This window comes from Homo sapiens, chromosome 3 (assembly GCF_000001405.40).
Source record: "Homo sapiens chromosome 3, GRCh38.p14 Primary Assembly".
NCBI lineage: Eukaryota > Metazoa > Chordata > Mammalia > Primates > Hominidae > Homo > Homo sapiens.
Window position 1 is genome coordinate 82,435,121 of NC_000003.12, and position 24,369 is coordinate 82,459,489.

At 36.1% G+C, this 24,369-nt stretch overlaps 1 long non-coding RNA gene across 1 annotated transcript in view; it reads left to right on the plus strand.

Moving 5' to 3' along the window:
• The window catches only part of LINC02008 (long intergenic non-protein coding RNA 2008), a 477,534-nt gene that overhangs the window by 448,979 nt on the left and 4,186 nt on the right, over positions 1 to 24,369 (plus strand). The window contains exons 5-8 of the long non-coding RNA NR_147146.1: positions 18,362 to 18,432; positions 19,266 to 19,390; positions 20,552 to 20,695; positions 22,831 to 23,027. This is a non-coding gene — a long non-coding RNA (long intergenic non-protein coding RNA 2008). The remainder of the gene's footprint in view (positions 1 to 18,361; positions 18,433 to 19,265; positions 19,391 to 20,551; positions 20,696 to 22,830; positions 23,028 to 24,369) is intronic.

The window sequence follows — 24,369 nt, forward strand, 5'->3', positions numbered from 1 at the left end:
TAAGTCCATTAAACCACTTTCTCTCGTAAATTGCCCAGTTTGGGATATGTCTTTATCAGCAGTGTGAAAACAGACTAATACACTTTTCAAAAGAAGACATATATGCAGCCAACAATCATATAAAAAAGCTCAATGTCAATATCACGGATCATTAGAGAAATGTAAATCAAAACCACAATGAGATACCATTTCACACCAGTCAGAATGATTATTACTAAAAAGTCAAGAAATAATAGATGCTAGCCAGGTTGTGGAGAAAAAGGAGCACATACACTTGTTGTGGGAGTATAAATTTGTTCAACTATTGTGGAAGACAGTGAGGCAATTCCTCAAAGACCTAAAAACAGAAATATCATTTGACCCAGCAATCTTATTACTGGGTATATACCCAAAGGAATATAAATTGCTCTATCATAAAGACACATACATGCATATGCTCATTGCAGCACTATTAGCAACAGCAAAGACATGGAATCAATCTAGATGTCAATCAGTTGTAGACTAGATAAAGAAAATGTGGTATATATACACCATGGAATACTATGCAGCCATAAAAAGAACAATATCATGTCCTTCACGAAACATTGATAGAGCTGAGGGCCATTATCCTTAGCAAACTAATGCAGGAACAGAAAATGAATACTGCGCATTGTCACTTGTAAGTGGGAGTTAAATGATGAGAACACAGGGACACATAGAGGGGAGCAACACACGCTGGAGTCTATCAGAAGGTGGGAGGTGGGAGAAAGAAGCGGATCAGGAAAAAAACAAACTAATGAGTACTAGGTTTAATGCCTAGGGGATAAAATAATCTGTACAACAAACCCCCATGACACACATTTACCTATATAACAAACCTGCACACGTACCCTTGAATTTAAAATAGAAGTTAAAATTTAAAAAAAGTGGTAACCAAAAGGGAACAGGGGTAAGCTATACTTATATCAGAAAAAACAGATTTTAAGTAAAAACTATCAAAAGAGACAAAAAGGACATTATATAATGATAAAATGGCCAACTTTATCTATCTATATTTATATACAAAATTGTTAAATCGGCCTAGTAAGTTGACCATTAGTGTGTATAAATATATATGTAAATGTATGTGTGTGTGTGTGTGTGTGTGTGTGTGTTCACCTCACACCAGAGTTACCAGATATATGAAGCAAATACTGACAAAATTGAAGGGGGAAATAGATAGCAATACAATTATACTAGCAAACTTCAATACTCCAGTTTCAATAATGGATATAACAACAAGAATACCAATAAATAATCAGAGGATATGAACAAAATTTTAGACCAATTGGACTGAACGGACATATGTAGAACACTTGACATAAGAATATACATTCTCCTCAAGTGTGCACATAACATTCTCCAGGATAGTTGACATATTAGCTCACAAAAAAGTCTTAACACATTTAAGAAGATTAAAATGATACGAAATATCTTTTCCAACTAGAATAGAATGAAACTAGAAATTGATTGTAGTAGGAAAACAGTAAGGATCACAAATGCATGGAAATTTAATAACATGACATCCTTAAATGTCCAACAGTTTAAAGAATAAATTACAAGATAAATTTAAAAATATCTAGACATAAATGAAAAAGAAAACACAACGTATCAACACATATGGAATGCAGCGAAAGCTATACTAATGGGAAAGCTTATAGTGCTAAATGCTTACAAAGTAGGTAACCTAGAAGTGACAAATTCCTAGAAATATTCAACCTACCAAGACAGAATTATGAAAATATAGAAAATATATGCAGATCTATAGAAAGGATATTGAACCAATAATCAAAAAACTCTCAAGAAAGAAAAGCCCAGGAACAGATGACATCATTAGAGAATTCTACTAAACATTTAAAGAAGAATTAATGCCAACTACACCAAACGTAAAAACTTCTGTGCAGCAAAGGAAACAATCAACTGAGTGAAAAGGCTTATCTCTGACCCTTTTTTAGGGTACTCGCTTACAGTTTTATCAAGTTCTCAAACTTCCTTATGTAGCATGTATTTTGTAATGCCTTCCTTCTTATCCTAAAATAAAAACCACACATACTGTGAGCAAATTATATACATTTAAAAAAAAATTAATATAATATCACACTGTAATGAACAAAGTGAAAAAAGTTTTACTTATATTTACCTAAGTGTAATACATGCTTGAGAATGATGCACTAAAACATGGGTATACAACCTTTTTCTGTAAAGTGCCAGATACTAAATATTTTTGGCTTTGCCAGTAATAGTCGCTGTTGCAGCTACTCAACTCTAGCATTATAGTACAAAAGAAAGTCATAGACAATAGGCAATAAATGGGCATAGCTTTGTTCCAATAAAACTTAATTTGCAAATTCAAATGACAGGCATGAGTTTGTCCAGGGTCTAAGTTTGCCAATCCTTGCGCTAAAGACATTATTGAATCATCAGATGTTTGCCTGAATATGTGAAATGATTGTGTATTCAATAACTTCAGATGAAAAAAATGATAGAAATATATATGTGTGTTCGGGTGTATATGTTAGCACTATGAGCAGCAATGTTGTTGGTGACATGATTTTCCAAAGTTGTAAATGACACTGGATAAATTTCTGAAGTCCAAATTGTGTAAATTGCTTTTACACTCACATGAATATTTGGTAAGATTATTTGAAATTTCTATAGTCATACCAGTTATGTGTCAACCAAAAGTGATTCTAAAAATTTCCAAAATGCTTCCTCAATAATGGTACCACCTCCATGTGACATTATTTTTGGTTAAATTCTTGGAAGTGGAAATTTTCTATCAAAATGTAAATAGTATTTTGTTATTATGCTTTGGTAACATAAAATATATGGAGTATTTATCCATTCTTTGACCAGAAAATTAGTTTGTAATATTTAAAAATTTTAACACTAGAAAAAAGGGCTATAAAACACTTTGACTCACATAGTCCTTTAAGTTTGACTTATGTGGTACTTGGCAATTATACAAATTTATAAAAATATATACTACTTTATGTATTCTGAATTAAAACCCCATTTTATTATGTGGATATTAATCTAATTTTTACAAATATGGCTATATTCCTAATAGATGCAAATATTTATATTTTAGATCTTAAACATAAACTCTAATAAACATCCTATCTTTTTTTACCTATTATAATTTACTATTAGGATATTTTTATAAATATAATCTGAAAATGAACACATTTTTACTGAAAATTTTATTAGGCAAGCTAAGATTATATTAGGCAATACCTAATTTTATTAGGCAAGACCAGGATTATAATCCATTAGAGGGTTCATAAAATATTATTACAAAACAGAACAGACTGTGAACATATTTATAACGACATCAAAACCTTAATATTGAATTGTATACTCAGTGTACATCTACTTTAATCAAAATTTGCTATTAAATGGTTATCTAAGAAAGTTTTACTCATTATGAATTTATTTCTACTTTAACTTTTTGAGCATTGTGGTTATAACTAAATTTGATAAATCAAAGAGGAAAACCCTCAGCCTTTGTCATTTTCCATGATATTGACATTTTTGAAGATTGCATGCCATGATTTTGAAGAATGTTTTTCACTTTGGGTCTGTCAAGTTTATTATTATCAGCAGTCACTTGTACTCCAATACAGCATAGCTCTCATTTCTATTTTGCTGTTGTTGTTTGTTATGATTGTTGTTAGTATGGTTTTCAACCTTCTGGACTTGACTCTGTAATACCATACTTTGATTTTTAAAATTTTAGTTCCATTTTTATTTCCCTCAAGCAACTTTTCTCCATTTTCCCCACAGTCACCAGAATGTGGGCTCCATTAGAGCTAAGATTTTGACTGTCTTGTTTAGAATTTTTTTTTTACCTCCTAGCCCAATACCTACATGTATTTTCTCATAAGCGGAGTCTGATTTTATGTATATTTGATAGGAATTAACCATGGTGATGTGTTCTTAGTTTCATCACATTCAAAATGCAAATCTTGTCAATTTGCCCCTTTATTGGTGTTGTTAATTTTGTTAAATATGTTCACTTAGTTTTACACTCTAATATTACCATTTTTCCCTTTGTAAATAGCATGTAAACTATGGGGAATATAGACTGTTTAAATATCATGTTCTTCAAATTTTTACCCAGTATGTTTAATAACCATTTAAAATTCTTGCCTGAATCAATTATTACCCTCACAGTTGAAAAATGATGTTCTAACTCTGTTTTATATTCATATTTATTTGTTAGAATTATAATGTAATAAAGACCTCCCTCTTCTTGCTTATGTTTTTATCTATATGTACTCAGAAATTTTTTTTCAGTTTTTCAATTATTATTTTTTTCTTACTGTCATTTTTTTGTGAGACAATACAACTAAGTACAATTTGTGATGCTGTATTCGATCCTAGATCAGGTAAAATTTGCCATAAAGAACATTATTGAGAAAACTATAGAAGTATTACATAAAATTATTGTACAAATATTACATGCCTGTAATTACATAAAAGCATGTCTTTAAGTTGTCTTTATATGTTAGAAAAATTCATAATTATAGATAAATTGACATGATGTCTACAACTAACTCACTAACATATGTTTGTGTGTACAGAGAGATAGAGCAGGGAGAGGGAATGAAAGCATCAGGAGTAGTATTCTTGCCAAAAAGGCATTACCTAAATCTCATCATGATGAAATGTTAGATAAATTCAAATCAAATTATAGGACATTCCACAAAACAAGTGTTCTATAACCCTTAAAAACGTCAATATTAGACAATCAGAAAGAGAGTGCACAAATGTGACAAAATGTTAACAATTGTTGAATTCATCTGGATGAAGGAAATGTGAATTTTTTGTACCATTCGTGTAATTCTTCTGAACATTTGAAATTCTTTCAAGAAAAAGTTTAAAATTAGTTATTGAAGAGATGACCATACCAAAACAAAAATAAGAATGAAATTACTCTAAAATGTTGATGTCTTATGATGCAGAAACCTTTAGTCTATATATGCTAAGACTTTGTGATTTTACTGGTCTCATCCTTTCTATGTGTTCTATTATACACTTCAACTATAACTCAATTGGTAAACAGATTGACCTATTGAAAAAAAGCTCTTACTGAAGGCAAGATGGTTTTTTGTTGCAAAGGCAGATTTTTAAAATATCAACAGTGCACAGAGAGTATTAATAAAGTGGGTCTTTTTTTTCTGTAAAAAGAATAAATCTCCCTCATTTTTCTTCATCTAATAAAGTGATATATATTTATTCTATATATCATTTTATATATGAGAAGTATTTTCAAACATTTTATATATAAATATAAATGTGTATACACACACACACATATTTGACGGTTAAAAATTTTGTCTATCCTTGCTGGGTCCTTTTATTTTTATTTTTCCCCCAAGATATAAAACCAGAATAACAGTTTTTTTGTTGTTGTTGTTGTTTTTCTAGATGGAGTTTCACTCTTGTTGCCCAGGCTGGAGTGCAATGGCATGATCTCGGCTCACTGCAACCTCTGCCTCCCAGGTTCAAGCGATTCTCCTGCCTCAGCCTCCCAAGTAGCTGGGATTAGAGGCATGCGCCACCACACCCGGCTTATTTTGTACTTTTAGTAGAGACAGGGTTTCTCCATGTGGGTCAAATTGGTCTCGAACTCCTGACTTCAGGTGATCTGCCCACCTCGGCCTCCCAAAGTGCTGGGATTACAGGTGTGAGCCACCGTGCCTGGCCCAGAATAACGTTTTATCCCTCAAATAATTTTGCCCATAAATAAAAGTCAGTATAGAAAACAATATCCTTCTAGACTATGCCACTAATATCCTTCTGGAGTATGCCACCATAAGTAAGGAAGTCATCTTCTATATAAAAAGGCCAGTTACACATTAAGGGTTTATTTATAGAAAAGGATACTCAGGCAGACAGGGCCCTACCTTGGGTAAGGAGAACAGGAAAATGCCTTGTCTTTAGATAGAAGAGTACAGACTCTTTTAAAGAGAAGTGAAAAGAGACATTGCAGTGCCTGGGTTGACCAGACACCCATGAGGTAAACTGGAGTGGGGAATCCTGAATTCAGGTTTAGGATGGCCAGAGACATTTCTACTCATCAAGCTTGGAGATCTAGGAGATAACGAATTTCACTCACACATTACTTCCTCACCCTTTTATTTCTCTCTCTTAGTCTTTTTTTATTTTATTTTTTTTCCTTGCTAAGTCAGTTCACAATTTGGGACTGCCATAATATGCTAATTATGTATCCGAGAAGGTGTGCGTGCTGGAGTCAAAATGTAGGTAATACAAAATGCTAAGCCCTTCAAGATCAAACTGTTAGAAAATAGATGTGATAATGCACTTGTTCTGGTATTATCAACAGTTGGATTTGTCCTTCGCTAGAGAACATACGACATTTAAATTTTTTCTTTGTTAGTATGTTATTGAATTTATTGACTTTCCTCTGAATGTAATATGATATTTTAATTTTTCATTTTTGAATTTTGCTTTTCTATTTTCCTCAGGAAACATTCTTTAGCTCTTCCTGCACTTCCTCACCGTGTAGGCTCCATGATGGCAGAGATGTTGTCTGTCTTGTTTAGCATTGTATTTCCGGGATCATGCTCACACATACAAGACAATGAATACATATTTTTGAGTAAAGTAAACAAATGGATGAACAAGTGAATACTTTTGCATGCAGATAATCTTGCTAATTTTGTGTTAAAATGTCTCAAAAAATAATATGCGGTGGGAAATTTCTTTAAAAATTTAGTTGTGTCATAAAAGTTAAAGAGTCCCAGTACTAAGATGAGGTCGTTTTCCCTGTGCACACACTTTGTACAGTATCATTTAGAATATTGGTAGATAATTTTCTTAAATACAATTATATAATTTAATGATTCAACAGATATTAACATTATGAAAGTGATCTATATACATTTAAATAAAATATTCATTACGATGGGAGAGGTAGGAAAAACAAGCAAACATATATTTTCTTATAACGTGACCCTAATGGATTGAAATTCTTGTATCCTTTCCCCAGAGAAATGACTTCCTGTGAATGGGTGCCATTTTACTTGCAGGTAAAAATAAAGGCAATGGCCAGTTTAGAAACTATGAATTTATTACACTTGGAATACTGTTTGTGAAAATCTTTGACATCAAATACTTCTAAAGTTGTCCTATGCTGAGTGATATAAATCACTATAATTCATTTTCCAACATTACTTGAGGATTGTGTGCCATACGTCAGTATGGCATAATGGCAAAGATTGTGGTCCCTTGGAGCCAGAAATCCAGGACTCAAACCCAATCTCAGAATTAACTAACTCATTGACTGTGAGCCAGTTATTCAATCTCTCTGAGCCTCATCTCTAAATAAGAATGATAGAGTTGTTGTGAACGTTAAAATAAGTTAATGCATGTAGAGTCCCCAAGCCATGCCCAACATATCAGAAGTAATCACTAATATTATATTTAATATTAATATCTTAGTGTGTGGAGAGGATTAGTGTGTGGATAATTTGTCTATGGAGGGAGATATTACAATTACTATAATGTATGCTGCCCTGTGGATACCAGCTGAGACAAAATGACCTCTGAGTGGCCACTAGAAAAGTTGGCAGTAAGCACAGTGCCCATGTGGGTCGTGATGCTGTCTCCTTTTCCTATCTAGTGGAAGAGAATACTAGACTTTCAGGTCACTGGAGCAGTGACCGTTGTTAGCTAATGATATAGTACCTTATCACAACTTTTAGACACTTTGAGGCAAACTGTTCAACTTTTTATAACCTCTAAGTTTTATGCCTGAAAGTTGGGGTGTTTTGAATTGAAGAGACTGCTATAGAGATAATTTCTGGGATTAAAGATCTTGTGTGTAAGGATGACACAAAAACCTCACGATTCAAATGTATACTAGCTTTTCACCCAAAAGGCAACATTAGACAAGCTATTAAAAGTAACGGTGAGAATCACCATTACTTTCACACCAGCCTAATACTTTACCCCTGCACCTCCATTTCTATCATTTATTTGTCAAATGAAGTTTTGAGACCACATGACCTCTAGATGCCTTATTTCATCGGTAGAGTCCACTTTTACTCCCATTGTTTTCTATTTACATTGGCATTTTCACTTCCTTTTCTCTCTGATATCACAAGAATGGGAAAAAAAGTCTAAGACTTAGAGCTTTACATATATAGGGGCGTGTGTGTTTGTGTGTGTGTGTGTGTACACACACATATATATAAAACTTTTGCAAAGACCAGAGTCATCTACGAAAAGTTAACTCCAACAAATTGTAAATGTTGCTATGAGAAGAGGAAAACAGATTTTTTTTTAAATAGCAGAATATAATATGGGATGTCTGCAAGACTGCAGAGAAAATATTTTCATTTTCATATTTCTGAAGTTAGGGTTTTCTGAGCAAAGCTAAAACAGAAACTTCAGGCCTAAATTAAAGGAGAAGACTTTTACCTAAAAGATGACTGAATAGATAATAAGGGATTTACATCTTTGAGGTATGTCAAAGGGAGGCCAGGCATGGTGGCTCACGCCTGTAATCTCAGCACTTTGGGAGGCCAAGTTGTGCGGATCACCTGAGGTCAGGATTTCGAGATCAGCCTGGCCAACATGGTGAAACCCTGTTTCTACTCAACAATACAAAAAATTAGCCGGGCATGGTGGTGCACACCTGATAGTCCCAGCTACTCAAGAAGCTAAGGCAGGAGAATAGCTTGAACCTGGGTGGCAGAGTTTGCAATGAGCCAAGATAGCACCACTGCACTCTGGCCTGGGTGACAAGAGTGAAACTCTGTCTCTAAATAAATAAATAGATGTTAAAGGGAGATAAAATCCAGAACTATGGAAATATCCCATGGAATGAAACAGTGAAATGCATTTTTTTCCCAGTGAATTGCATTGACGTTCCAAAAGATAAGAACCCAGGGCCCTTCCCCTTCTTTTCCCAAAGGGAATATGTTCCCATTAGGGAGATTCAGTTTTTCTCCCTCCTTTTAAAGGGAAGCAGGTAATGTGTATATAAGCTCACAGATTCATATTTTTAGGGTTTCTCCTTTTTGGTTTATATACACAGCCCTATCTATCTGTCTCTCTGCATCACCCAGAAAGGGAAAAGATTAGGAGAAATCATTGTGCTTGTAAATCATGTGTTTACTTTCTGGATAATATTAATAAATATGAATTTTCAAAAATGATCATTATCAATGGAGCAAAAGTAGAAAAAGACCAAAGCTTTTATATGCAAGTTATTTCTTACAAATTACTGATGACATTAGAAGTGTTTGGACTGTTTTCCCCTAAATTGATCCATACTCATTTGTTTGAACTGTTAAATATTTTATTAATGAGAAAAAAATTGGGACAAGTTGTTGGGCTGATACAGCTGAAGGGAAGCTTTTGTTATTTAAAATACGGGGCAGGGATTATTTAGGAGAAAACTTAATTATTTTCTGTTTATCAATGGAAGGATGAAAGCTCTGCAATCTCTCATTCAGCCTTGGGCAGTATAAATTTTGAAACCCCGTTAAGTGACTTGATCATTTACTTCCGAACTTCTTGTCTGTAAAATTTTCTTCAGCTTTGATCATAAGGAACACTTTTTAAAAATACGCTGTGCTTTCGATGTTGTGTCTACCTTGATTTTTTCTTATCTCTGTCGTATACCATACTTAAGTGTAAGAAGTTTAGGGGAACTAAAGGAAATAAGGTACCTGATCCTCTTTCATCCATGTAATTTCTCCTGTTCTTATAAAATAGAATAGAGCAGGGAGTTATCACCCTACTCTGATGCCCATGTAATGCCTGATTATGAAAGACACTCATTCTGCTAAGCTCCTTTCCGTTTATTGTGATCAATTCAGACAGCTTTCAGACACAGACACTAGGAGTTAGATTCTTTATGAAATAAGTGGAAAATCTTTGTCCTATGAGGATCTACTTTTCTTTATGGATCTTCTATCAGGGATTAAATTGCAATGATTGTTACATTTTTATCAGTAACTAATGAGTCTAAATTGTTAAAAATTATGTCAGATGAGATACAAAACATTGACGCATTCAGTTTATTTAAGTTTTCACAAAATATTCAAAATATAAAAACTTCATGATAATTTTTAAAAAGCTGAAAGATGTATTGGTTTTTATATAAGGTAGAGGGTTTCTATATGAGAGAAAAGGAAAAAGATAAAAATAAAAAGAAAAGAGAAAGTTGAAAATAAAGGGATAAAAAATAGAGAGTAGACAATGGGGAAAGAAAGGTGAAAAGTTGAAGTATGTATTCAAATATCACATAAACATATTATGTCATGCATAACAATGTAAAATGTGTTGAAATGCATTAGTTTGAACAATGACAGTATTCTTTTAGTTTTTGCCTCCATCATGTTTTCAGTAAAATAATATTCAGTTTAATGTATACTTGATAGCTTTTATATGTTGATACATGTGGAGAATGTTAGTGACAGCTAATGATAACAATTTAGTCAACATTTATTGAGAATGTACCATGTCACAGATACACTGGGTCTTTGACAAACGTATAACGACATATATCAGCCATTATAGTATCATATAGAGTAGTTTCACTGCCCTAAAAATCCTCTGTGCTCGGCCCATTTCTCTCTGCCTCTCTCCTAACCTCTGGAAACCACTGATACTTTTACTGCCTCCATATTTGCCTTTACCAGAATGGCATGTAATTAGAATCATACAGTATTTAGCCCTTTCAGATTGGCTTATTTCACTTAGTAACAAACTTTCCTTGATGTGTTTTCACAAACTGATAGCTCATTTATTTTTTGTACTAATTAATATTCCATTGTCTGGATGTTCCACTGTCTGTTCATTTACCTGTTGAAGGATATCTTGGTAATTATGAATAGAGCTGTCAAACATTTGTTTGCAGGTTTTGGGGGCATAATTTTTCAGTTCACTTTGGTAAATACCAAAATGTTGAATTGCTGGGTTATATGGTAAGAGTATGTTTGCTTTTATTTTAAGAATTCCAAGGTGTTTTTAAAAGTAGTTATACCATTTTGCATTCCCACCAGCAATGCTTGAGAGTTCCCATTGAACCGCAACTTTGCCAGCATTTGGTGTTGTAAGTGTTTTGAAGACATATTCATTATTGATCAGAGAATATTATATAGTAAGAAAAAGTTATTAGAAACTCAGAGGACTTGGCTAAAATTTCACCTGGATGTATTAAAGATCTAGTCACACAAATTAATGTAAATAGAAAAGGAGTGTCAAAAACAGTCCCTGAGTACTGTATCTCAGGAGTGACACTTATACACTGTTATAAAATTAAGATATCTCCACTGTATGTAATTCAAATTATTTAAATTTAATACAGTATATGTACTTATGCTTTGACAGACACATGTAGGTTAAATTCATCCTGCTTTTTCAAGAAGTTGGGGACATACAAATGTATTCACCTAAGTTAATCTTCAGTATCCATTAGTTTTATTCTTTATTTTTTGGATTTAAAATTTATGAAATATGGTGGGGTGATGTACTTTTTAGTCCCAGCTACCTGGGAGGCTGAGGAGGGGAAATGGCTTGAACCCGGGGGTTAGAAGAGCTTGCAGTGAGCCATGATCATGGCATTGCACTCCAACCTGGGTGGCGGAATGAGACCCTGACGCTAATAAGGACATAAATAAATAAATAAATAGAAATTTACTCAATGCTTTATCTAGAATACGCCAGGCATTTGTTAAACCTGGGAATAAATGTATGAATAAATTATGGCTTTGTTTTAAAATAATGTATTAGTCAAAGTTGTTTTGGTTAAATGTGACAGAAACACCACTCAAACTGCTAAAGCATAAATGGGAATTTATTGTTCAAATAATGAGAGCTCAGTAGCAGGCTAACTTAAGGAGTTTAGAGTTCTTTACATGTTTTTTTCTGCTTCTGTCTCTTTTTTTCATTGTCTTTCTCCTTCAGAATTTATCATTTTATTTTATCACCCTTCTTTTTTGACACAGATGAATTCCACTGGGGTGGTGAAGGTGAGAACACTGCTACAAACAATTCCAGGAATACACCATTTCTATTTATAGTCTTAGAGAAAAGAGAGCTTTTCTCTCTGTTAACATACCCTTAAACCCTGATTTGGCTTACCTCAATTGAGCCATATTCTCATCTCTAGGGATTTTTGTGAATTATAATGCCTAGAGTTAGAAAGTGGCATTATGTTGAGTGGGTACAATAAGTGTTTCCATGCAGATAATTTGAAGAACTCACAAGGGTCCACCAGGTATACTCATATAATACTTTAATCAAGATAAGGATATGCTGTAGTAGGATAAATGAAGCACAGGCAAGCATTGTGGACCCAAAGATTTTTCAGTACCCTTTTATAGTTTCATAAAAATGCTTCATCTCTGAATTATGCATTACCAAGATATGTTCAAGAAATTTTCATTTCAAAAGTGCTTGGCAAAAGTTTCCAATGGGCTCATTTATGTGCCACTGATCACGTAACGTACCAGTGTGTGTAATCAGTTAGAACAGGAATAAACTACCAATCTATACATCCCAAAACAATGTAAAAAACTGACTGTGAGCACCACAAGGTGAATATGAACCTTAAACAAAAGATTATGAATTATTATCTATCTTCATTATTTTTACCTTAGTCAAGAGTTAGTACTAGACTTCAGATGTTGCCAGAAGCATAGAACTATGCTAGTCTAACTGAAAGATAACTTTACCTTACAGAAAGTGTGTTATATGTGTTATAGGATATGAGGAGGGTGATATGGTTTGGCTCTGTGTCCGCACCTAAATCTCAGCTTGAATTGTAATCCCTACGTGTTAAGGGAGGGAGGTGATTGGATTACAGGGGAGCTTAATCCATGCTGTTCCCATGCTGGTGAGTTAATTCTCATGAGATCTCATGGTTATATAAGTGTTTGACAGTTCCTCCTACACAGTCTTCTCTCTCACTTGCTGCCATGTAAGACATGCCTGCTTCCCCTCTGCCATGATTGTAAATTTCCTGAGGTCTCCCCACCTATGCAGAACTGTGAGCCAAGTTCTTTCTTTACAACCTCCTTTCTTTACAACAGTTCTTTACATCAGTGTGAAAACAGACTAATACAGTAAACTGACACCAGAAGTGGGGTACTGCTATAAAGATACCTGAAAATGTGGAAGCAGCTTTGAAACTGAGTAACAGGAAGAGGTTGCAACAGTTTGGAGGGCGTAGAAGAATACAGGATGAGGTGGAAAAGTATGGAAATTCCTAGAGACTTGTTGAATGGTTTTGACCAAAATACTGATAGTTATATGGACAACAAAATCCAGGCTGATGTGGTCTTAGATGGAGATGAGAAATCTATTGAGAAATGGAGCAAAGGTCACTCTTGCTATGCTTTAGCAAAAAGACTGGTGTCATTTTGCCCCTGCCCTAGAGAATTGTGGAACTTTGATCTTGAGAGAAATGATCTGAAATTAGAACTTACGTTTAAAAGGGAAGCAGAGCATAAAAATTTGGAACATTTGCATCCTTACAATGCAGTAGAAAAGAGAAACACATTTTCTGGGGAGAAATTCAAGCCAGCTGCAGAAATTTACATGAGTAACAAGGAGCCAAATGTTAATCATTAAGACAATGGAGAAAATGTCTACAGGGCATGTCAGAGATTCTGGTGGCAGCTTCTCCCATCACAGGCCCAGAGGCCTAGGAGGAAATACGGTTTCATGGGCAAGACCCAGGGTCCCTGCTATTCTATGCAGCCTTGGGACATGGTGCCCTGCATCCCAGCCCCTTCAGCTCTAGTTGTGGTTAAAAGGGGCCAAGGTACAGCTCTGGCTGTTGCTCCAGAGGGTGCAAGCTCCAAGTCTTGGTGACTTCCATGTGGTGTTGGGCCTGAAGGTGCATGTAAGTAAAGAATTGAAGTTTGGAAATCACTGCCTAGATTTCAGGGGATATTTGGAAATACCTGAATGTCCAGACAGAAGTCAGCTTCAGGAGTGGAGTCCTCCTGGAAAAACTCTGCTAGGGCAGTACAAAGGGGAAATGTGGGGTTGGAGCCCTCACACAGAGTCTGCACTGGAGCACTGCCTAGGGAAGCTGTGAGAAGAGGGCCACCATCTTCCTGACCCCAGAATGGTAGAACCACCGACAGCTTGCACTGGCTTGCACTGTGGGTCTGGAAAAGCCACAGGCACTCACACCAGCATGTGAAGGAGCTGCCCAAGGCCACGGGAGCCACCCCTTGCATCAGCATGCCCTAGATGTGAGACATAGAGCCAAAGGAGATTATTTTAGAGTTTAAGATTTAATAACTGTCTCACTGGAATTTGGACTTGCATGGGGCCTGTAGACACTTGTTTTGGCCAGTTTATCCCTTTTGAAGTGGGACATTTACCCAGTGCTGTAGCCCCATTGTATCTAGGAAGTAATTAACTTGCTTCTGATTTTACAGGCTTATAGGCAGAAGGTACATGCCTTGTCTCAGATGAGACTTTGGACTTGGACTTTTGGGTTAATGCTGGAATGAGTTAAGACCTTAGGGGACTGTCAGAAAGGCATGATTGGTTTTGAAATGTAAAAGACATGTGATTTGGGAGGGGACAGGGGTGGAATGATATGGTTTGGCTTTGAGTCCCCATCCAAATCTCATCTCAAATCTTTTCTCATGTTTAGAGAAGGAGGTGATTGGATCATGGGGTAGTTCCCTCCATGCTGGTCTCATGAGAGTGAGTGAGTTCTCACAAGGTGTGATGGTTTTATAAGTGTTTGACAGTTCCTCATGCATACTTTTCTCTCTCACCTGCCACCATGTAAGATGTGCCTGCTTCCCCTTCCAACATGATTGTAAATTTCCTGAGGCCTCCCAACCCATGCGAAACTGTGAGTCAATTAAACCTTCTTTCTTTATAAATTACCCAGTCTCAGGCAGTTCTTTATAGTAGTGTGAAAATGGACTAATACAGAGAGTATCTTTTCTTATGGTGGAAAAATCTGAACAAGTTACTATGCTATTAGAAAAGACCAAAAAGAAAGTGAAAAATTGAAGACCCAGGTAGAGAAGACATAGTAATTTGATCAGTCAGGATACATGATGGATTTGGAGAAGAGAAAAATATAATGAAGATAAGTGTGTACTTAACTTAAAAGAAAACGGTGGATAACTTTTTCTTGAGATGGAAAAGAGGGAGGCAAGGCTAATTTATATAAGCAGACTATGGTCAGTAAGAGAAAGATATCTAAGCTAGTTCTCAAAAAGAAATGACAGTTAGAATGTCAAACTTGTGAAATGCACCTGTCACTATGAGTATGTAACCAGAGTTCAGACTAGACATAAAATCCAGAGGAGAAAGGTGTTTTGTCTTTTGTTGTATTCTAAAATGGTTCTCTTTGTTTTGCCTCAGAAAAGCCTGAGTTGTGAGTAGGTGGTTCTGTCTTAGGAAAAAACCATGCAAGTTACAACACTCCAAAATCTTAAATGGTCTAAAATTCAAAATGTTTTCAGTGCCAAGATGATTCCACAAGTAAAAAATTTTATACCTAAACTGCTATGATAGGTCACAGTCAAAACTTTATTTTATATACACAATTATTTAAGATATTATATAAAATTACTTTCAGGCTATGTGTATAAGGTATACATAAAACATGAATAAATTTTCTGTTTAGACTAGGGTTCCATCTCCAACCTCATTATGTATATGTTAATATTCCAAAATCCTTAACATTCTAAATCCAAAACCCTTCTGATCCCAAGCATTTTGGGTAACAGTTACTCAATCTGTATCTAATTTAGGCTTTGTATGTATACATTGGGCTGTATTTATTTGTCACGACAGTAAGAAGGTAATTTATAAATTGGCCTGTGTTGATTCAGAGAGACCGAGAATCCTTGCCCTTTCCCAGTGAAGGAATATGGGGTGCTCAGACTATAATGAAGTGCCAAACGTTTGGAGTTGGAAAAAAGAGGAATGAAAGAAAGTGTACAGAAGACAAAAGGGCTTCAACCAGTCTGTGGAGTCAAATAATCTAGTTAGAAAAAGAAGACTAAGCTCCAGAAAAAAAGCACATAGCTCACTGCAGCCGTGTGGGCACAGTAAAACACTTTCACACAACCAATATACCATCTTTGGGGGAAGGAAAGAAATTCTGCAATTCTGAAAGACTCATGCTTTGTTCATAAGTAAAGTACTCCTAACACATTATTTAAACCAATACCAGATTTGTTAAATTAAACATTTAAACTAAAAACTGAAAGAGAAATTCTTTGAACCACTGAAGTCTGAAAGGGTTATTTGGCAAGCATAGGTTGCCTGACACACATTAAAAAATGAGATGGAAGAGAACATTCTGGATCTTATTAGAATAATTGTCTATGCTTTATATTAACTTGATTATGTCTTTGATTTTTGAAGAGACCAAAGTTCTCACATTTAAAAGAGCTAAGTTTCTTTACAATTATATTACCTCCTATGATTACTTTCAAAATCTTTTCTTGTCACTTTGATTAAGTAGGTAACTGACATGGCTTGGTTCTGTGTCCCCACCAAATCTCATGTTGAATTGTAATCTCCAACATTGGAGGTGGGGCCTGGTGGGAAGTGATTGGATGAATCATGGGGGTGGATCCTTCAGTAATGGCTTAGCACCATCCCCTTGGTGCTGTTTTCATGATAGAGTTTTTGCAAAATCTGGTTGTTTAAAAGTATGTAGCACCTCTACCCACTTCTTCCTGCTCTAGCCATATGAAGTACTGACTCCCTTTTCATCTTCCTCCATGATTTTCCCTGAGGCTCCCCCAGAAACCAAGTGGATGCCAGCATCATGCTCACGTATAGCTGTAAAACAATAGCCAATTAAACCCCTTTTCTTTATAAATCACCCAGTCTCAGGTATTTTTGTATAGTAATGTGAGAATGGACTAATACAGAAAATTGGTGCTGAGGAGTGGGATTTTGCTATAAACATACCTGAAAATGTGGAAGCAACTTTGAAACTCAGTAATGGGCAGATGTTGGAAGAATGTGGAGGGCTCAGAAGAAGACAGGAAGATGAAGGAAAGTTTAGGACTTCCTAGAGACTGCTTGAATAGTTATGACAGAAATGCTGATAGTGATGTGGAAAGAGATGGCCAGGCTGATGAGGTCTCAGATGGAGGTGAGAAACTTATTGGACACTGGAGTAAAGGTCACTTTTGCTATGCTTTAGGAAAAAGCCCGGCTGCATTATGCCCCTGTCCTAGAGATCTGTGGAACTTTGAACTTGACAGTGATGATTTAGGGTATCTGATAGAAGAAGTTTTGAAGCCCCAAGGCATTCAAGATTTCACCTGGCTGCTTCTAACAACCTGAGTTCATATGCATGAGCAAAGAAATGATGTAAATTTGGAACTTATATTTAAAAGGGAAGCAGAACATAAAAGTTTGAAAAATTTGCAGCCTGGCCAAGTAGTAGAAGAAACAAAACAAAACAAAACACTACCAGGAGAAGAATTCAAGCAGGTTGCAGAAATTTGCATAAGTAAAAGGAATCCAAGTGCTGATAGTTAAGACAATGGAGAGAAGGTATCAAAGGCATTTCAGAGACCTTTATGACAGCCCATCCCATCACAGACCCAGAGGTCTAGGAGGACTGAATGCAGGACTGCTACCTGCATCCCAGCTGTTCCAGCTCCAACCACGGTTCAAAGGGACCCAGGTACAGTTTGGGCCACTGCTTCAGGGGGTGCAAGCCATAAGCCTTAGAGGCTTCCATGTGTCGTTAAGCCTGTGGGTGCACAGAGTGCAAGAGTTGGGACTTGGAAGCCTCTGCCTAGACTTCAGAGAATGTATGGAAAAGCATGGATATCCAGGCAGAAGCCTGCTGCAGGGGCTGAGCCCTCATGGAGAACCCCTACCAGGGTGTTGCAGAGGAGAAATATAGAGTTGGAACCCCTACACAGAGTCTTCATTGGAACCCTGCCTAGTGGAGTTGTGAGAAGAGGGCCACCATCTGCCAGATCTCAGAATGGTAGATTCACTGACAGTTTGCACCATGTCCCTGAAAAATCTGCAGGCACACAATGCCGGCTCTTGAAAGCAGTGATGAAGGTTGTGTCCTGCAAAGCCACAGGGGCAGAGCTGCCCAAGGCCTTTGGAGCCCAACCCTTGCATCAGTGTTCCTTGGATGTGAGACATGGAATCAAAGGAAATTATTTTAGAGCTGTAAGATTTAATGACTGCCCTGCCTGGTTTTGGACTTGCATGGGGCCTGTAATCTCTTTCTTTTGGCCAATTTCTCTCTTTTGGAGTAAGAGAATTTACCCAGTGCCTATACCCCCATTTTATCTTGAAGGTAACTAACTTCTTTTTAATTTTACAGGCTCATTGGCAGAAGGGACTAGCCTTATCTGAGTCTTTGAACTTGAACCTTTGAGTTAATGCTAGAATGAGGTAAGACTTTGGGGGACTGTAGGGAGGCCAAGATTGTATTTTTAATGTAAGGACATGAAATTTGACGGGGGGGGGCAAGGATGGAATGATATGATTTGGATCTATGTCCCCACCAAATCTCATGTAAAATTGTAATCCTAAGTGTTGAAGGGGTGGTCTGGTGGAGGTGACTGGATCATGGGGGTGGATCCTTTATTAATGGCTTAGCACTATCCCCTTGTTGTGGTCCTTATGATAGAGTTCTCACAAGATCTGGTTGTTCAAACGTGTGTAGCACCTCCCTGCCCCCTTCTCCCTGCTCTAGCCATGTGAAATGCTGGCTCACCTTCACCTTCCACCATGATTGTAAGTTGCCTGAGGCTTCCCCAGAAGCCGAGAAGATGCCAGTACTTTGCTTCCTGTATAGCCTGCAGAACTGTGAGCCAACTAAATGGCTTTTTAAAATAAATTACCCAACCTTTGTTCCTTTCTGTCCACAGTTTTCAGGTAATTAATGATCCAATCTCAGGGTTTTGTTTTTTTTTTTTACAGGAGTGTGAGAATGGATTAGTACAGTAACTAAGTGTTTTTTGGTAACCCATTAGCCTACCTGTAGCAAGTTGAATAGTGGCCTTTAAAAGTTTATATTCATTTGAAATCTCAGAATGTGACCTTATGTAAAAATAAGGTCTTTGCTGATATAATTAGTGGAGGACGTCACACTGCATGGGATGGGCCCTAAATACAATGCCTGTGTCCTTATTCGAGATGAGATGGCACAAAAGAAAACACACAGTGAGGAAAATTCTTGTGAAAAAGAGACAAAGATTGGTGTGATATTTCCATAATTTAAGGAATGCTGAAGATCACAGGGAGCCCTTGGAAGCTAGGAAAAGGCAATGAAAGGCTTTTACCTAGAACCTGCAGAGACAACATGGCCCTACTACCTCTTGATTTCAGAATTCTGGTCTCCTGAACTGTGAGTGAATATAATTATGTTGGTTTTTGCTACCAAGTTTATGCTAATTTTTTATGACAACCCTCAGAAATTAATACAGACTTTGGTACTGAGAAGTGGGTGCTGCTGTAATATATATTTCAAAATGTGGAAGTGGTTTCAGAATTAGGTAATGGGTAGAAGGTTGAAGAATTTTGAAATGTTTGATAGAAAAAATCTAGTTTATCTTGGAGAGATGATTTGTAGAATTATAGGCACCAAATGTGATGAGGGCTTTGATGAAAATAAGGAAGACAGGAGAGAAACTGCTGACATTTACAGAATACATGTTATCTTTATGAATAAAATGTTAAAATATAAACATTAAACATGAGGTGTCAGAAGAAAATGAGAAATATAATATTGGAAAAGGGAAGAAAGGTGATCCTGGATGTAGAATGGCAGAAAATTTGGCCAAACTGTGTTCAAATATTAGGTAGAAAGTAGAACTATAAGAAATGGACTTGTATGCTGAGGTAAGGAGATTTTAAAGCAATGTTGAAAAGGTTTGGCCTGGTTTCTCTTTGTTGCTTATAATAAAATGAAAGAAGAAAAAGATAAATTGAGGATGAAATTCTTAAGCAAAATGGAATCAACACTAGATGGTTTGTAAAACTCTCAGCCTATCCAGATAGCCATAGATGAGAAAGTACGTTTTATAGAAAACATGAAGAGTGTTGCTCAACAACCTTTTGGTAAAGAGTTCAGACATGTGACTTATGGAGTCAATAAAACATTTGAGCAGAATCCATAAACAGAGAGCGGGTTCTAGGGGAAGAATTTGAAGAGGGAGGTTGACACACATAAAAATCAACAAGGTTTTTGAGAATGTTATATTGGGAGACACACTGAAAGTGCAGACAGAAAGGAACAAAGATGGAATAAAATGAAGGAGAAATGACTTGGAGGGCACAGTTTCAGATGTCAGAGAGGGAGAGGCTGCTGACAGTGCCAATGCCCGGAAGGTAGTTGCCAACTACAGAGATGCCATAGGCCTAGAAGGTACAGCCACAGGCCCAGAGGGCAGAAAAATGAGTCAAAGAATTATTCTTAGGCCTTGAATCCTAATATAGTTTGCCTTGGCAGCTTTCAAATTTGCTTGGCATCAGTGACCTCTTTATTTCTTTCAATCTTCCCTTTTAGAAAAGATTAAGGAATAAGAATATCTATCTTATGCCTATTCCAACTTCAGAGGGAGCATCACTCTGTAGAAACCTTGATTTGAACTTCTGGCCTTCTGCACTGGAAGAGAGTAAATTTCTGTTGTTTTAAGCTACCAAGTTCATGGTAATTTCTTATTGCAGACTAGGAAACTAATACACACTTTTAATTAAGTGTTCAAAATATTCTGATGGTTTTTGATATTTTATCTTCCTGAGATTGACCCCAAAAAATATCCTTTGCCCTTGCAGTTGTCTTCAAAATGTTTCTAAGTGTCCCTTGAAAAATCACAAAGATTTACTTCTTAACCTTATAAAACTTGAGGTGTTAAAAACAATTAGGTTTTTTTGGTGAGTGATTCATGATGAGTTGCATGGCAAGAACAATTAAATCAAAAAAAGATACTAGTCTGCCTTAGGTTAAATTTACATTGGTAAAATATTATTAAAGATAATATTTTAGAAGCTCTAAAGTGTAAGAAAAATTCTATAGATTTGCTACTGTCCTAATTGTTTATAATTTTTGTTTATATTTATCAGAATTATGTTTCTGGTCCTGCTTTGCCTATTATCACAAGAAAAATATAATTATCTCAGTTATAATTTCTTTTATTATTTTTCCTTTTTTTATTTTTATTTTTTTGAGAGGGAGTCTCACTCTGTCACCCAGGCTAGAGCGCAGTGGCACAATCTCGGCTTACTGCAACCTCCACCTCCCAGGTTCAAGCGATTCTCCTGCCTCAGCACCCCCAAGTGGCCTGGATTATAGACGTCCACCACCACGCCCAACTAATTTTTGTATTTTTAGTAGAGACGGGGTTTCACTGTGTTGGCCAGGCTGGCCTCGAACTCCGGACCTCAGGTGATCTTCCCGCCTCGGCCTCCCAAAGTGCTGGGATTACAGGCATGAGCTACCACGCCTGGCCAATTTCTTTTATTAAAAATGCTAACGTGGCTATAATTTTATGTTTAGAATTTTCATCTAGAATCTTTTAGGGTAGTGGCTTTAAACGAGGGATTTGCATCATTTACTCTGGGGTTTTATTAACACAGAAATGTTTAGGACCTAATTCACACTTAAAAATTTTGTTTACTTGATCATATATATTTGATGTTTTCTAACTATACGCTTGAAATATTCGCAGTGTATTACATATCAGAATTATCATGTGTTTTTGTTGTACAAGTTATATTTATTTTTAAAGATTATATGTAATATTCAGCCTTTTAAAAAGCAGAGTTAATCATTTTGTGTATAGATAGATATCTTGTCTAAAACTTTTTTTGGATTAACTTTATTACCTTGCTTGATTTGCCACAGAAAGATCAAATTTCTTTGTCAGTGCATTATTCTTATAATGAACTTTCCTCAGAGTTTTAAGTTTTGAACATTATCAGTAATAAGTTAATTATGGGCATTTTAATATTTTATGAGCTAAAGGCTTTGCTGTTGTTGTTCCTTTATTTTAATGCTCCTCTGGAAGTTCTTGTAATCAGCCACATGCTTATGCATTTCATCTTCAGTGAAAAACTGTTATAAAGCTCCAATGAAAAGGACTATGCCAGGTACTATTGGGCACAGATGATGTAACCAACGTTAAGGCCACGCTAACGTATTATTGAGTCAGAATTTCCAGAACTCTAGTGGAGAAGCAGATGGATTGATTAGATTGTCAACTCAAGATGGAGTGGAATAAAAATTAATTAGATAGTAAAGAATAAACAAATGAGGGATGCTATTTTTTTTGTTCAGAATACTGCTGATGTTTTAATCTTCTATTTTCAGGATATATTAGGAAGCCCTTTTGTCTTCCTAAGTTACCTATAACTCAAAACAATTTAGTAGAGTCTGCTTTTGTAAACAGACAAAAATTATATCTTATTCTACCTACCTGATCCCTCAAGGATTTAAAATAAATATTAAATATATTTATTTTCATAGCAATATAATTATTTACATAGGTTTGATAAGAACATATCTTCCTTGATATAGATAATTGGAAACATTGGTTATTCAAATGTCAACCAAAATTATTAAATGGATCTGAATCCAGTTTTAAAGAGTTTAGCCAAATGAAAAGCTAGGAATAGCCATTTGGGAGACACAGGCTCCAGAGAAATGGGATCAGTGGTTCACAATTAAATATAAGTTCTTGCTTATATAGGCAGAAAAGAAATAAATTTAACAGAATTACAACATTTTGTATATCTGGCTGGCTTATGAGTTACAACAAATTAATTATTGTTTTATTTTTCATACAGGTTGTTTCCATTTCTTTTTAAGTTTAAGAGCATATTTTAGATTCCATCTTAAGACAATGTAACAGCTGTGAGTCTTTTCATGAGAAAGAAAAGAAGGCAGTTAGTCTATAATGAAGATGAACTGTCAAGAGCATGTGAAGGGGAAAGGGGTCTTCCCTGGCACCAATCAGTCATTTATATTTTACAAAACAATGCAGGTAAGGAAGAGGCTAATCTTTAATCATAGAAACAAAAGCTACAGTTTCCTAGGTTAAAGCTGTCTGTGACATGACTCAAGTCCCATAATTACACTTTTTTAAGTTCAAAATAATTGGGAATAACTTAAATTTTAATGACTTATTTTTCACATTTTCTGCCTTCTTATCAAGAACTTTCAAAGAAAGCATCTTAGATGATGATATGATTTGACTGTGTCCCCACCCAAATCTCATCTTGAATTCTATTATAGTTCCCATAATCCTCATATGTCATGGGAGGGACCAGTAGGAGGTAATTGAATCATGGCTGTGGCCATCCTCATGCTGTTTTCCTAATAATGAGGCACCTTTTCTCAGGGCAGCGGGAGAGAGAAGTGCTGAGCAAAGGAGGGAAAGCCCCTTTTAAAACCATCATCATAATATGATTACAATAGGTGACTATATCTCCTTTTACTAATAAGGAAGCACAATTTCTGGAAACATTTTCATTGGTCTGCTTGTTATAATTTCAAATGGAGATAACTCGTGCTTGAAGGAAGTCAATCTTAGGTTTTGCAAAAACAGTGCAAGAACTTTTTGCTAAGAGATTTTTAACAGCCTTGGTTAATATTGCCAGTTGTTTACCAATCTAGATAACCGGGGGTGATAAGCACAATGGACATTGTATAGAATAGGTCTGACTATATATACTGATTAAATTATGTGTCCAGTGAAGTCGGTGCTTCTGTCACTATGAGGTTCTAGAAAAACCCCTGGAATGAAAAAATATATATAATTTTACTTACTTCTCTTTTTTTCTTTTTATTTTTCCTTTTTTTTTTTTTTTTTTTTGAGACGGAGTCTCGCCCTGACGCCCAGGCTGGAGTGCAGTGGCGAGATCTCGGCTCACTGCAAGCTCCGCCTCTTGGGTTCACCCCATTCTCCTGCCTCAGCCTCCCGAGTAGCTGTAACTACAGGCACCTGCCACCACACCCGGCTAATTTTTTGTATTTTTAGTAGAGACGGGGTTTCACATGTTAGCCAGGATGGTCTCGATCTCCTGACCTCGTGTTCCGCCAGCCTCGGCCTCCCAAAGTGCTGTGATTACAGGCGTGAGCCACCACCGCGCCAGGCAGTTTTACTTACTTCTAAGGCCATTGATCTTCCGCAAGGAAATGACTCTACCCAATAAGAAAGCATGCAAATCATTATCAGGGCATGTTATAGCCTCAGCAGAGTGGCAGTTGGATAAAATCTAGTTGCCGTATTTCAAAGGGAGCCTCAGGTAAAGGAAAGTGTCCTTGGGAACAATGTGATATTTTTCCTGGATTATATTTTGGGCAAATATGTCAGTGGTCGTACA